Here is a 15,789-nt window from a genome sequence, read left to right as displayed (position 1 = left end):
CAACGTTTTTTAGCTCCCACATATGAGTGAGAATCTGTGGTATTTATTTTTCTGTGCCTGACTTATTTCACTTAACATAATGCCCTCCTGGGTCACTCATGTCGCCATGAATGGCAGGATTTTATTGTTTTATGAATAAATAGTATTCCATTGTGTATAATACTATTGTGGTATATATCACATTTTCTTTATACATTAATCTGTTGATGAACTTTAGGCAATGCTTCATGGCTTTTATCATTTTAGGTGAAAAGTGAACTGCTAACTTATGGTGATTACCTTGTAAATAAATGATTGCTTTAATTTCTTTCAATGTATTCTCTCTATCTAGCTGGCAACATTTCACTAGGATGTGTATGGGTGTTGATCTGCATTTTTTCTACTTGATGTTAACTGAACTTCTTGTACATGTAGATTAATTTTTTAAATCATATTTGGAAAGTTTAGCCCATTCGTTCTTCAAATATTTTTCTACTCTCCATCTCTGTCTTTTGCTCTCTCTCCTTATTTTTCCTCCCTTCCTTTCTTCTTGTACTCCAATATGTGTGTCTTGCTGCCCTTAATGATATTACACATTTCTTTGAGGGTCTATTCACTTTTCTTCATTCTTTTTTCTCTGTGTTCTTCAGATTACATAATGTCTACCAATCTTGCCTCAAATTTATTGATTTATTTTTATTCTTGTTACCATATACTTTTAAGGTCTTCTAGTGAATCCTTCTATTCAGTTATTGTACTTTTTAACCTAGAATTTCAATTAGGCCTTGTTTATTATTTCTATATCTTTATTAATATTATATATTTCATATGTTTTTGTACATATATGGACATAAATGAATGTATAATTGCTTAACTGTGTTGTGAAAGAATTCACAGAAAGTGATGTACAATGGAATGTACATTTTCTTTATTCATTTTTGGACACTTTGGTTGATTCCATATCTTTGCTATTGTAAATACTGTTTCAATAAATATGGGAGTGGTATCCCTTTGATATACTGATTTATTTTTCTTTGGATAAATACCCAGTAGCGGGATTGCTGGATCTCGTGGTAGTTATATTTTAGTTTTTGGAAAATTCTATAAACTGTTTTCCATAGTGGCTGTACTCATTTACATTCCTTTTAATAGTGTATAAAAGTTCTCCTTTCTCCAAATCCTCAGGAACAACTGCTGTTTTTTGCCTTTAAAAAAAAAACATATTTTTTTTTCTGGGTACATAATAGGTGTGTATATTTATGGGATATAAAGGATATTTTGATATAGGCATACAATGTGTAATAATTGTACCAGGGTAAATGGGGTATCCATCACCTCAAGAATTTATCCTTTGTATTACAAACAATCCAATATACTTTTAGTTATTTAAAAGTATACAATAAATTATTATTGACTATAGTCACCCTTTTATGCTGTCAAATACTAGATCTTAGTCATTCTTTTTGTTACCATTAACCATCCACACTTCCCTCCCACCTCCTACCTACCCTTCACAGCCTCTAGTAATCATCATTTTACTCTATATCTTCATGAGTTTGATTATCTTAATTTTTAGCTCCCACAAATAAGTGAGAACATGTGGTTTATCTTTCTGTGCCTGACATTTTTAAGTTAACATAATTACCTCCAGTTCCAACCATGTTGTTGCAAATGACAGGATCTCATTGTTTTATGACTGAATAGGATTCCATTGCATATATGTACATCTTCTTTATCTTTTCATCTGTTGATGTGCACTTGGGTTGCTTCCAATCTTCAATATTGTACATAATGCTGCAAAAAAATGTGGAAGTGCAGGAATCTCTTTGATATACTGGTTTCCTTTCTTTTGGGTATATACCTAGCAGTGGGATTGCTGGATAGTATGGTAGTTCTATTTTTGAGGAACTTCCAAACTGTTCTTCATAGTAGTTGCACAAATATACATTTCCCCCAGCAGTGTATGAGGGTTGACTTTTCTCCATATCCTTCTAGCATTTCTTATTGTATGTCATTTGGATAAAAGTCATTTTAACTGGGGTGAGATGATATCTTATTGTAGTTTTGATTTGCATTTATCTGATGATCAGTGGTGTTGAGCATATTTTTATATATGTTTTCCACTTGTGCGTCATCTTTTGAAACACATCTAATCAGAACTTTTGCCCATTTTTAAATTAGATGATTAGATTTTTTTCTTACAGAGTTGTTTGAGCTCCTTATATATCTTTGTTATTAATTCTTTGTTGGATAGATAATTGTAAATACTTACTCCCATTCTTTGGATTGTCTTTTCACTGTGTTGATTGTTTCCTTTGCTGTGCAGAAGCTTTTTAACTTGATGTGACTCCATGTGCCCATTTTTGCTTTGGTTTCCTGTGCTTGCGGGTATTACTCAAGAAATTTTTTGCCCAGACCAATGTCCTAGGGGAATTTTCTCAATGTTTTCTTGTAGTATTTTAACAGTTTGAGGTCTTAGAATTAAGACTTTAGTTCATTTTGATTTGATTTTTGTATATGGTGAGAGAGAGTGGTCTAGTTTCATTCTTCTGCATGTGGATATCCAGTTTTCCCAGCAACATTTATTGAAGAGACTCCTTTCCTCAGTGTATGTTTTTGACATCTTTGTCCAAAATGAGTTCCCTGTAGACGCCTATAGATGTATGAATTTGTCTCTGGATTCTCTATTCTGTTCCAGTGGTCTATATGTCTATTTTTATGCTAGTACCATGCTGTTTTGTTTGCTGTAGCTCTGTAATAGAATTTGAAGCCAGATAATGTGATTTATCTAGTTTTTTTAGTTGTTGTTGTTGTTCTTGCTCAGAATATATTTAACTGTCAGGGGTCTTTTGTGGTTCCATATAAATGTTAGGAAGGTTTTTTCTATTTGTTTGAAGAATTTTATGATAGGGATTGAAATGAATCTTTAGGTTCCTTTGGGTAAAATGCAAATTTTAACAACATTAAATCTTTCAAACCATGAAAATGAATTATATTTCTATTTTTGTATGTCCTCTTTAATTTCTTTCATGAACATCTTAAATAGCTTTTATTGTCAAGATCTTTCACTTCCTTGGTTAAGTTCATCTATAGGTATTTAATTTTATTTGTGGCTATCATAAAATGGGATTATTTCTTGATTTCTTTTTCAGATGGTTCACTGTTGGCATATAGAAATGCTGCTGATGTTTGTATGTTGATTTTGTATCCTGCAACTTTCCTGAATTTATTTATCAGTTCTAACAGTTGTTTTGGTGGAGTCTTTAGTTTTTTCTTAATATAATATTATCTGCAAACAAGGATAATTTGACTTCTTCCTTTTCAATTTGGATGCCTTTTCTTTCTTTTGTCTGATTGCTTTTGCTAACACTTCCAGTACTATGTTAAGTAAGAATGGCAAAAGTGGGCATCCTGTTGTGTTCCAGATCTTAGAGGAAAGGCTTTAAGTTTTTCTACATTCACTATAATATTAGCTATGGGTCTATCAAATATGACTTTTATTATGTTGAGGCATATTGTTTCTATACTCAGTTTCTTTGAGGGATTTTATCATGAAGGGATGTTGAATTTTATCAATTGCTTTTTCGGCATCAATTGAAATGATCGTATGTTTTTTGTCCTTCATTCTATTGATATATTACATTGATTGATTCACATATGTTGAACCATCCTTGCATCCCTGGGATAAATTCCAGTTGGTTGTGATGAATAATATTTTTAATGTGTTGTTGAATTCTGTTTGCTAATACTTTGTTGGGAATTTTTGCACAAATATTTATCAGATATTGCCTTGTAGCTTTCTTTTTTTGACGGGTCTTTGTCTGGTTTTGCTATCAGCATAACACTGGCCTTGTAGAATGAGTTTGGAAGTACTCCCTCTTCCTCTATTTTTCAGAACACTTTTAGTAGGATTGGTATGAGTTTTTATTTATATGTGGTAGAATTAAGCAGCAAAGCCCTCAGGCCCTGATCTTTTATTTGCAGGGAGGCATTTTATTATGGCTTCAATCCCATTATTTGTCAGTCTGTTCAAGTTTTAGATTCCTTCCAGTTTCATCTTGGTAGGTTGTATTTGTCTAGAAATTTGTCTATTTCTTCTAAGTTTGTCAATTTATTGACATATATTTTCTCATAGTAGCCTCTAATGATCCTTTGAATTTCTGTGCCATTGGTTGTGATGTCTCCTTTCTCATCTCTGATTTTATTGTTTTGGGTCTTCTGTCTTTTATTCTAGTCTTCCTCTGTCTTATCTTTAAGGCCAACAACTCTTAGATTTGCCCGTTTGAGGCTATTTTCTAGATCTTGTAGGCATGCTTTATTCTTTTTTCTTCTTTATTCTTTTGTCTCTTCTGAATGTGTATTTTCGAATAGCCTGTTTTCAGGCTCACTAATTCTTTGTTCTGCTTTATCAATTCTGACATTAAGAGACTTGGATGCATTCTTCATTATGCCACTTGTGGTTTTCAACTCCAGAATTTCTGCTTGATTCTTTTTAATTTCTATTTTCCTTGGTAAATTTATCTCATAGAAATGTGAATTCTTTCCCTACGTCACCTTGAATTTCTTTGAGTTTCCTCAAAACAGCTATTTTGAATTATCTATCTAAAGGTCACATGTCTCTGTTTCTTCAGAGTTGGTCACTGCTACCTTATTTAGATCATTTGGTGAGCTCATGTTTTTCTGGATGGTCTTGATGCTTCTGGATATTCATTGGTGTCTGGGCATTGAAGAGTTATGTATTTATTGTAATCGTTGCAGCCTGAGCTTGTTTTTAACCGTCTTTCCTGGGGAAGTTTTCCATGTTTTCTAAGGGATTCAGGTGCTGTAATCTAAGTTTTTGGTCATTCCAGCCTTATGTGCATTATGGGAAATCCTAAGCCCAATAACACTGTCACTCTAGCAGACTCATAGAGATACCACTTCAGTGGTCTTGAATCAGATCCCAAAGAATGATCTGGATTATTGGGCAGAGACTTTTGTTTTCATTACTTACTTTTTCCCAAACAAATGGAATTTCTCTCTTTCTCTCTGTGCTGAGCTGCCTGGAACTAGGTGGAGTCCACAAGCACCCCTGTGGCCACCACCACCTGAGCTGTGCTGGGTCAGACCAAGGCGCTAGGGATGTACAATCAGCAGATAGTAAACCCAGCCAGTTTTGATTCCTTCCCTTCAGGGTGGCGAGTTTCCTTGGGCCCCAGGTGGCTCCAGGTATGTTGTTCCTGGAGTCAGAAAACTTAGTAATCCACTTGGTGCTCTATTCTACTGTGGCTGAGCTGGCACTGAAATCACAAGCAAAGTCTATCCTAATTTTCCTTTCCTTTCCCCAGGCGGAGGAGTTTCTCCCCCTGTGCTCCACTACCATAGGCCCATAGGGTGTACTGCCAGCGCACTGCTGATGTTCACTGAAGACCCAAGGGCTCTTCAGTCAGCTTGTGGTGAATGCTTCCAGGCTCACTCTTCAGGGTAGTGGTCTCCCCTATGGCCCAGAGTAAGTCTAGAAATCCTATCCAAAATCCAAGGCCCTAGTACCTACTTGTTGTTCTTCCGCACTATGGCCAAGCTGGTACCTAAGCTGCAAGACAAGGTCCCCTTTACTTTTCTCTCTGCTTTTCTCAAGGAGTCTCACCTCATAGCCTCCACAGGTGTGCTGGGTCACACCTGAAGCCACCGCATCCCAAAGTCTCGCCCAAGGCACATACCATGTAATAACTGGTTACTACTGCTGATTATTCAGGGCCCAAGGGCTCTTTAGTAAGCAGGTGTTCCTGTCAGTACTGGGTCCTTCCCTTCCAGCTAGCAGGTTCCTTTTTGGCCCTGGGTGTGTCTGGAATGTCATCTGGGAGCCAAAGCCTGGAATGGGGGCCTCATGAACCTGTCTGGTGTCCTATTCTACTGTGGCTGAGCTGATATTCAAGTTGCAAGACAAAGTCATTTTTACTCTTCCCTATCCTCTTCTCAATCAGAAGGAAAGAGTCTTGTTTGGACTTCTGAGCTATGCTGCCTGAGGTTAGGTGAGGAGTGTACAAACACTCCCCTGGCCACCCTGGCTGGTGTCTCACTAGATTGTATGCTCCCCAAGTCCACTGGCTTTGAGCTCGGCACAGCACCACTACATGCCTAGGAATTGCCTTCATTGTGGCCTAGACTGCCTTTCAAGTTTATTTAGAACCTCAGAGCACTTAAGCCCAAGTTCCAACCAGAGGGATGGGTGATTCCCTTATAACTTGGACAAAATCCACAGAGCAAACTGTATTGGCTTTCTGTGGCTGATGTAAAAATGGCCGGAAATGCAGCAGCTTAAAACAATATATATGTACAATATATGTACAATATAAATATATATACAACATAGATATAAATATATTATCATAGAGTTCTGTAGGTTTGAAATGTAATACGAGCCTTACTGGATTAAAATCAAGGCACCAGCTGGCTACAATCTCTTCTGGAGGCTCTAGAGGAAAATCTTTTCCCGTTTTTTAAACAAAAAAACTTCTACTGACTGCTTGCAGTGAAGAAGAGTAAATAATTGTTCATCCTCAAAGTCAGCAATGCTGCACATGTCCGGCCATTATTCCACAGTCACATTTTCTGACCATACCAGAAAACATCTTCCATTTTAAAGTCCTATGTAATTAGATTGTTCCCAGTGGACAATCTGGTATAATCTCTTCATTTCAAGGTGCCTAGTATAATCATTTATGCAAAGTCTTTTTTCTTGTAAAGTAACATGTTCAGGAATTAGGATAAGAAAATCTTGAAGTGGAGGCATAATTCTGCTTATTAAGCAAAAATTATTGTATGCCTGATTTTTATGTCAGTGTCTAATCATTGAAGAACACGTAAAAAATAAAGAACTGAAATTAGAGATGACTTATAAGTTTATGTCTCTTGTAGAAGATCAGCCTTATGGAGAAAGTAATGATAAATTGGATGGGGTAATAGAGCTCTGAGGAACTGTCACAAGAATGCCAGTATGAAAATTTTAGAAAGCTAAAGAATAGAAATTAACATATATTGGGTGCTTTTTTTTTTCTAAAGACTCTGTTAAACATTTTCTTGGTTATATCTTTTTATCTTTTGAACAATTCAATCAGTCTACAGTGGTGGGATGAAGAAATATGATGTACTGAATGATATTTAGGAGAAAACATCAACAGGAATTGCTGTAAGTATTTTCATAACACTAGGGAAGGGAAGCCATTGAAGAATAGAGTGGGGACTTCCAAAGCTAGAGAGTCTTAAAATTTCAAATGTCTATTAGGTAAAGCAATATAGAAATTTTTCTTCTGGTAACCAGCATTCTACTCTCTACTTTTATGGGGTCAACTTTTTTAGATTCTGAACATGAGTGAAATCATGTGGTATGTGTTTTTCTGTGCCTGGCTTATTACATATAACATAAAGTTTTACAAGTTCATTCATGTTTTCACAAATGACAGGGCTTGGATGGTTAGGGAAAGGAAGAGAATGGGAAGATGTTGGTCAAAGGATATGTAATTACAGTTAGATAGGAGAAATAAGGTCAAAAGTTTTATTGCACAGCATGATGACTATAGTTAATGACCATACACTGTATTTTTGAAAAATGCAAAGATAGTAGATAAGGGTTCTTATTACATGAATAATAACTATGTGAAGTACTACATTTGTTACCTAGTTTTAATTATTCCACAATGTATATAATCTTCAAAATATCATGTTGTACACAATAAATACACACAATTTTATCTATCAATTTAAGCAAATAAATAAGTTTTCTTATAATTAGTAAGGGAAACCTTATTTATTAGATATGAAAACTAGATTATAATATTCTAAGAACTTAATGGAGGTGAGAAAGAAGCAATAATAAGTGTAAACAATTTGTTTCCAAAAGCATGGGTAATACAGTAATGCAAAGGAAACAAAGAAAAAGTTAAAATGAAATTAATACCTCATAGAGATATCTTCATTCCCATGTTCATTGCAGTATTATAATAGCCAAGATGTGGAAACAATCTAAGTGTCCACTGATGGATGAATTAATAAAGAAATTGTGGCATATATTCACAATATAATACTCTTCAGACCTATAATTAAAAAGACACTGCCATTTGTGACAACATGAATGAAACTAGAGGACATTATGCTAAGTGGAATAAGCCAGACTCAGTAAAAATATTGCATGGCCTCATTTATATGTGCAATCTTAAAAAAAAAAGTCAAATAAAGAAGAACTTCAGGACTTTAGTTAATAATATTGTATTTTATACTGAGCACTTGCTGAGAGTAAATTTTTGGTGCTTTTACCACACACACAAAAGAGTATCTAGGGAAGGTGAGGAATATGTTAATTTCTTTTACTATAGTAAATATTTCACCATGTATATGTATGTTAGAATATGTTGTACACCTTAAAATATGCAATAAAAACAAATTTCAAAAAATTAAGCAACTGACTATATTATTAGTAGAAGGAGTCAGTAAATTGATAAGGTTTCAATAGAGCAGATTTATAAAAAATTTCCAAATAGAGATGAGTGGTGAGAACCTAGATGTAAGTTGGTAGATGTATTAGGGTTCTCTAGAAGGACAGAACTAATGGGATATACATGTATGTGTAAACGTGTATGTATACACATGTGTACAATATATACACATTATGTGTGTGTGTGTATATACACACACACATATAATACATATATATACCATATATATATATTTATTTATGTTTATTAAGTATTAACTCACACGATCACAAGGTCCCACAATAGGCCATCTGTGGGCTGAGGAGCAAGGAGAGCCAGTCTGAGTTCCAAAACTGAAGAACTTGGAGTCTGGTGTTCAAGGGCAGGAGGCATCCAGCATGGGAGAAAGATGTAGGTTGCGAGGCTAGGCTAGTCTCTTTTTTCAGATTTTTCTGCATGCTTATATCCTAGCCTCTCTGGAAGCTGATTAGATTTTGCCCACCCAGATTAAGGGTGGGTCTACCTTTCCCAGCCCACTGACTCAAATGTTGATGTCCTTTGGCAACACCTCACAGACACACCCAGGATCATTACTTAGTGTCTTTCAATCCAATCAAGTTGACACTCAGTATTAACCACCACACTAGGAAACCCTAACAGCTAAGCTTATGTGAAACTCATTAAATTAACAGATTGAGGAAAAAACAACATATTTTGATATAAGAATAAATATTGGTATTGTATCAATAGATTAACTTAAATAAGTTATTAAACTTTATAATATTTTAAAATTTAAATTGACCAAACAAATCAAGATAAACAATGTAGTGATAAAATATATAAAGTATACAAATGATTTTTTAGGGTCCAGAAAATAATGTCACTCAAAATTTCAAAATTACAAAGGTACAGAATTTATCTGAATGATTATAGAAGACTGTGGAATAGAAAATCAAAACATCACGTAGGATAAGCATTTAAATGACACAGTCATCCACTCATACGTTGTAAAACTGTACACACTTTGAAAAATAGTAAGCATTTAACATCGTGGGTTCAGAAATAGAACTGTGATCACAGTGCTAGCTGTAGTTTATTGTTTGCAAGTGCTAGAAAATGAGCTAAATATTTTGATTCACAATCTGATTTCATTTTTATGAACACCCTTTGAATCAATGACTTTCACAAACCCTATTTTGTGGGTGAAGATATTCAGTCATTTAGAGTCCAAACAAGTCAAACAAAATCAGTAAATACTAAGTTATTGAGCTAGTATTAAATTCAAGTCTGTGAAATCCTGGAGTAAAGTTGTTTAACTACATTATGCTGCCTCCTAATGAAGAACATCCCCCCACCAAAAAAAAAAAAAAGAAAAAATAACACAACAGATACACACACACACACACACACACACACATACACACACACACTTTAATAGAAAAGCTATGACATGAAAATATCGTAACTCAAAGGGGTATAAGTATTAAATTTTATAAAATAATGTTAAATCAAGCCAGAAAATGGCTTGGGATTCAAACAATACTTCTGAATTTTCACCCTTAGAATGTAATGAGTTTATGGTTAATATCCTTGAACCAGCCCAAGTAATTTAAAAACAAATAGGATTTGTTATCTTTATCTATCTATGTATCTGTTAAGTAATTTTTAAAAAGCCACTTGAGAAAACAGTCTTTTTTCATCAAATCAATATTATTGTCAATCCAGGATTCCAAGGTGAACTTTTGGTATAATAAATATAAATCTGAAAGTGCCTTAATTTATCACAAATTCAGTTGCATTTTTGTAAGCTATGAATATTATATCATGTGACTCAACAAGCTACTTTCTTATTTGAAACTATAAAAAAGTTATCCGTCTTAACAGTATGGGTAAAGTCTTTCTATTGTAAGCATTTGTCAGATTTAATATTTGCTATAGTTTCTCAAATATAGAGTTATATTAGGAGAAAAAGGACACTTAGATATAGTCAATCAATTTTTGCTAACACGATCAAAATAAGGTCAATAAACATGAGTTTTTGTGGGAAGTTGTTTTGGATTTGACACTTTGATGCAAAATTATTTTGGCTAACATCTCTTAGAGAATTCAGATACTGGATGACAATAATTTTAAACCACTGATTATACAGTATATGTTTTGCTACATGATTGATTCTCAGAGTTGTTACTTGCCACTAAGTTAGATCAAAGAATCTAGAAGATTTATTTTTTTTTCCCATTGGTTTTTAATTCCAAAATAATTATTTGTTGTTTCTTGCCAAAAAGTTTACCTAAAACATTTCTGCTCATAGGAAACATATAATAAAATATTATATTTACTTTTTGCTTCCCTTATGCTTATTTGTGTTGTATAGAACATTGATATATTTTCGTGTAAGGGCCTCAGGATGGAAATTGGTCAATGAAACATGAGGTTGAAGACAACGGATTAAATAGTGGAAGTCTATTGCATTTTTTAAAAAAACAGGACCTAAATGATATGGTTTATTTTGGTATCATGTTCACTTGTCTGCTGGCATTATTTAACATTGGTCATGTAAAGAATAACTCAAGAACACTTTATAGAAATTAATAAACTTTACTTTTGTGGAATGAAAAAAGCATCTAAAGGAGGAAAATGAAGAACACTGAAAAAGAACCTACAAATCCTGAAAATGTATCTTAAGTGATACATTGCATTTACAAAGTTATTTACAATACTTATCACAATGAGTGGGCGATATTATATGCTAAGGGATAAAGATTAATAATGTATGGTCTTAATTGTCAAAAAATACATCGCGTGATTTTACTTTTGAATTTGTAGTTTCTAACCTGGCATTCACTTTACTTCATATTCACTTTACTTTTTGCAGAAATTGGAGGGTTGAGTTTGGTCTAGCAGCAAGACAACCAGTTTAAATTTCAACAATCCCTAGACTAACTGGGTTTCTTCTGAGAGATAAAAGTGTATTGAAGAGTTCAACAAGATAGTGTGAACTCAAATTTTTTTCTCAACAATATGCTGACTAACCTTAAAGAGAACATTAAAATAAACAGCAAAACTGAAGGTATTCAAACTTATGTTAAAAGACATCTTAAGCTAGTGAGAAAAAAAAAAAAAAACAAAACTCTTTACCGTTTTGAAAGGATAAAAGTTTTTATGTATTATTGTTTTACCAATTAGCCTATATATTTTAACATATTTATGGGACTATAATAAGTATAATAGCTAATATATTTGAGTATCCAATATCTTATAGACTTTGCAATTTGTATTGTATTCAATATACCATTTACTTGTTACAAAAATCTATATATCAGATATTTTTATCAAACTCTCCATTTTACAAATGACAAAGTTAAGACTTAGAGAGCCTAGTGTAAAACAATAAATGGTAGAAAAGATAAGTCATTTCCACATGCACATACACACACAGGTAGATGGATAGACGTACGTGTATGTGTATTATATCTATACATAGAATTAGCTATATATACACACATACATGTATCATTTGGCTTTTTAATATGTTAATATTGTATTGAAATTCATTATCAGTTTATCAAGATACTATTATCCTCTATTTTAAAGCTAAAGAAAATGAGAGTCAAAATATTAAATAACTTGTTGAATGGCACACAGTATTAAGTTAGTAGGGTTAGAATCCAAGCTTATTCTCTTTCCAAATTGTCCCACTGCCTCTTTATCTAGGTTACATTTTTCTCTGCACTTCGTTAGTTCCTTCTCTCCTTGGTTTTCTCTAGGAATCTGCTATACAGAGATGCGTGTGACAGCATGTTTTAATCCTGCCATAACCATACATCTTGCTAGTTTGTATTAGAAAGGATTATGCTAAAATTTCTGTGGCTTAGGAAACAAAAGATAAGTGCTAACTTCCACTACATGTCCTATATGTCTAAACAATGGTATGTATGTTTGGGAGACAAAGACTTACGGAAATATCAAATTCTGTAGCTGCATCATTAGGACATCAGGTCTCCTTGGTTGCTATGCCGGGAGCGAAAGTATAGGGATTCATCAATGACATTTTCCACATTCCGGAAGTGACAGATATCATGTGCCTCATATTTCATTGGTCAGACTGGTTTTCTGAACCAATCTCATATAGAAGTGGGCTAAAAAGGATTGTCTTCCTTGTGCAGAGAAGGAATGAGAACTGGATATTGGTGAACACTAGTTATGTCTACCAGATCATCCTCAAAAAATGTCTTGGTCCTGACATGGGAATTAACAGCAGACAACCTCAGCAAGGTCAGAAAAGGAAGACTTTGCATAGAAGATACAAGATGCATAAGATTTTTGATTGATGAGATGAGAGGTAAAATAAAAAGTAATATAAACTGTACACAACAAAAGATTGCCTCCCCAAAGGCAGAAAACAATCTCTCCTCCCTATGCTTCAGCTTGAATGAAAAATAATGATACAATTTACCACTTCTATGGATAAACAAAGAGACCTAGAAGATTGAAAGGCTCTTAAAAATAACCATTTGGTGGTATAACATTTTATAATGGCTCATGGCTTTTATAATTATTTCTCACTGTGCCTGAGAAAATCAGAGGAGTACATGCAAAGAAATACAAAAGCAGCAGCCAGAGTCAGCAGTGACAGGCTCCCCACTGAGTGCCATAAGCTCCATTATCTTCTGTCATAGCAACTCCTCAATCAAAGGGAAATAGTGCACTGGAAGCAGGAGACGAGGAACAATAAAACATAGGCAAATTGGCTAAATTATAGCACAAAGTACTACTGAAGACACAGTTAAAGAATAATAGAAAAGAGCAGGTATTTTCTTACAATTTATTTTTTAAATTCTAGGAAAAATTACATCAATTTACTCTTTTACATGAGATAGTATGCATTCTCTGAATAATCAAAGAGATGGCTTCTTTTTTTTCATTTGTAACAGGTATTTCAGAGTGTTCCTGCCAATATTATCAACAGAAGTTTATAATATCAATCTGTTCTATTCTTGAGCTTTGCATTCACTGTACAATGCATGCAAAGTCACAGTTCTTTCATAAATATTTCATATAAGGTTTGCTGATGTATGTTTTAACTTTAGAGTATATATTGATACATGATATAATGTGTTTCAACAAGAAAGACAAAAGAGCATGTGCTTTGCTAATCCTTTCACAGTGCCTTTTATCTGAAAATTAGCTTATTTCGTCGGCTGTGTATATGCTTATCTCATAACTACGGTTGTAAACACCAGTTTTGTATTTGCCAAATATGCCAATGAACAATAAAGTATAAATTAAAGAAAACATTATTTTTTCTGTTCTTATACGGCACAGAAACATATCTTATTTTTAACGTACTTTAAAAACAAACCTTGTCTGCCTTTTGAATCACAAAGATAATTGAGAATTTTCATTTCTCCATCTGATTTCTAAGTTTTGCTAGTATTTTTTGAGTTGCATAATCTGTACACTAAATCCAGGTGCTCTGTGTTAACTAATCATTAACTACTGAAATCTGAAGACCCAATTCTCTACAATAAAATAAATGAGAAGCCTGAGTATATAAATTACATATCATTCATATCTACAGCCCTCTACATATTCATAAAAATGATGTCCTTATGATTTATTTCCTTTCTTAGTGTCTATAATTGTCCCAAGTTCTAGTACAAATTAATTATTTTAATTTCTGTTTTGTCATTGCAGCATTTTATTCCTCTTGTGCAAATATAAAAAGGAAAGAATCTTCTGTGCCCTGAGTCCAAATGAAAATCTCAAGCAACAAAAAAGCGAAGTGATTGGGAAAATAAAATCATTTTGGACTGATCCCAACAGCATTTCAGTTTCATTAGTGTTCTATTAATTTAATACTATAACCAGATTTCAAGTTCTGACAAAGTTCTGTATTGCAGATCTCAGTATTAGGTTAATGTATGAATTGTACTGCACTACACATAAAAATGATGTAAATGTGAATGTATAAGAATAGCCTGACAATTTGAAAAGTCTTTGTAATATTTTCAGAAAATATCCTAGATAGGCTATAATTGAATTATTTGATTTTTACAAATTACTTTGTATTATGGAAACAAATGGTAGTTTTCTCAAGCCTTAACACCATTGAGGATATTTATGTATGTCTGTTTAACAAATAGAAAATGGTTTGTAATTCACCCCAATGATTGATATGAATTAGATTTTATGAGGTTTTCAGGCATTATAAGGAATTATATAATTAAATATGCTTGAAAATTTTCTTTATTCAAGTTATAAGTAGGTTTTATTTACATAATGTAAACATAGTCATAAAGAATGATAGTATTATTGGTACACGTTTAATCCTCATTATCCCTCACTATATCCCTCATTATAAAGTATGTACTGTGATTATTCCTATTTTCTAGATGATGAAATGGAGGAACTGAGAGGTTAAGTAACTTGCTTAAGGTTATTCAGCCCAGTAGTTCAGAGACATGATTTAATCTTTAGTCTGGCTCCAGAGTCTGTACCTCTAATCGATATTATGAAGTGTCAGTTTTTTGTTTACACCCTTTTAATTCTGGTATATTTTGATTTGGTTTCTTGCATCTATGGGACTTTTGGATAATGATAACTTATGCTTCTATATTTACAAAAAATAAACAAACATAAAACATTACAAGTCATTGATTTCTATTTTGACTGGGATATATAATCTGTTACAAAGCAGAATATTAATTGGCTTACCTGCCCTCAAAGGAAGATTTCTTCTGTCTCTGAAATTTTTATGTTGCATCTAAGACTGTTTTTCTCTTGATAACACTAGGATGAGAAAGATGAAAATAGACTATAGCCAGAAGGTGTTACTGCTGTCTCTGAGACTATCTTTTTGCAACTTGAGTTTTTCTTTCAGTTTGTTAATTTGTAATTCAATCTCTCCCATTTCATCTTGGCCCTTCCTAATCTTCACAGAGTTCATTTACTTACTCATGTCATTAGCTAACCACTGCAGTCATGTAAGTTTTTATAAACTTAGATAAGTGTGGACGCATTCAGGGTGGCATGGCCGTAGACAGTTTTTACAAATTTAAAAGGTATAGAGTACTTCTTATGAAAGCTAAACACCTCTATTTCTTCTGAATTTATTAAAAAGTATAATAGCATGAAAAAGAGTTATACATAAATGTCTTAACATAACTATATCTATATTTTTGTCCAGTTATTATGCTAATAGCAGCTTCATCAAATTCAAAAATTTTTATCATTGTTTTACTGGAGGAGAAAGACTTTCAAACACTTACTGCATATGCCTGTGCATACCCCCACACAAACACACAATGTATACCTATTGTTTAAGAGATTCAAAATAGATATAGTTAAAATCAACAAT

General features: G+C 33.3%; 1 long non-coding RNA gene across 1 annotated transcript in view; it reads right to left on the bottom strand.

Moving 5' to 3' along the window:
* Window positions 1-15,197, bottom strand: part of LINC01821 (long intergenic non-protein coding RNA 1821) — a 75,363-nt gene extending 60,166 nt beyond the window's left edge. The window contains exon 1 of the long non-coding RNA NR_110222.1: window positions 15,147-15,197. This is a non-coding gene — a long non-coding RNA (long intergenic non-protein coding RNA 1821). The remainder of the gene's footprint in view (window positions 1-15,146) is intronic.
* Between the last annotated feature and the right edge of the window lie 592 nt (window positions 15,198-15,789).

Source organism: Homo sapiens, chromosome 2 (genome assembly GCF_000001405.40).
Source record: "Homo sapiens chromosome 2, GRCh38.p14 Primary Assembly".
NCBI lineage: Eukaryota > Metazoa > Chordata > Mammalia > Primates > Hominidae > Homo > Homo sapiens.
The sequence above is the reverse complement of the archived record's forward strand: the minus strand, read 5'-3'. Positions and strand labels throughout refer to the sequence as shown.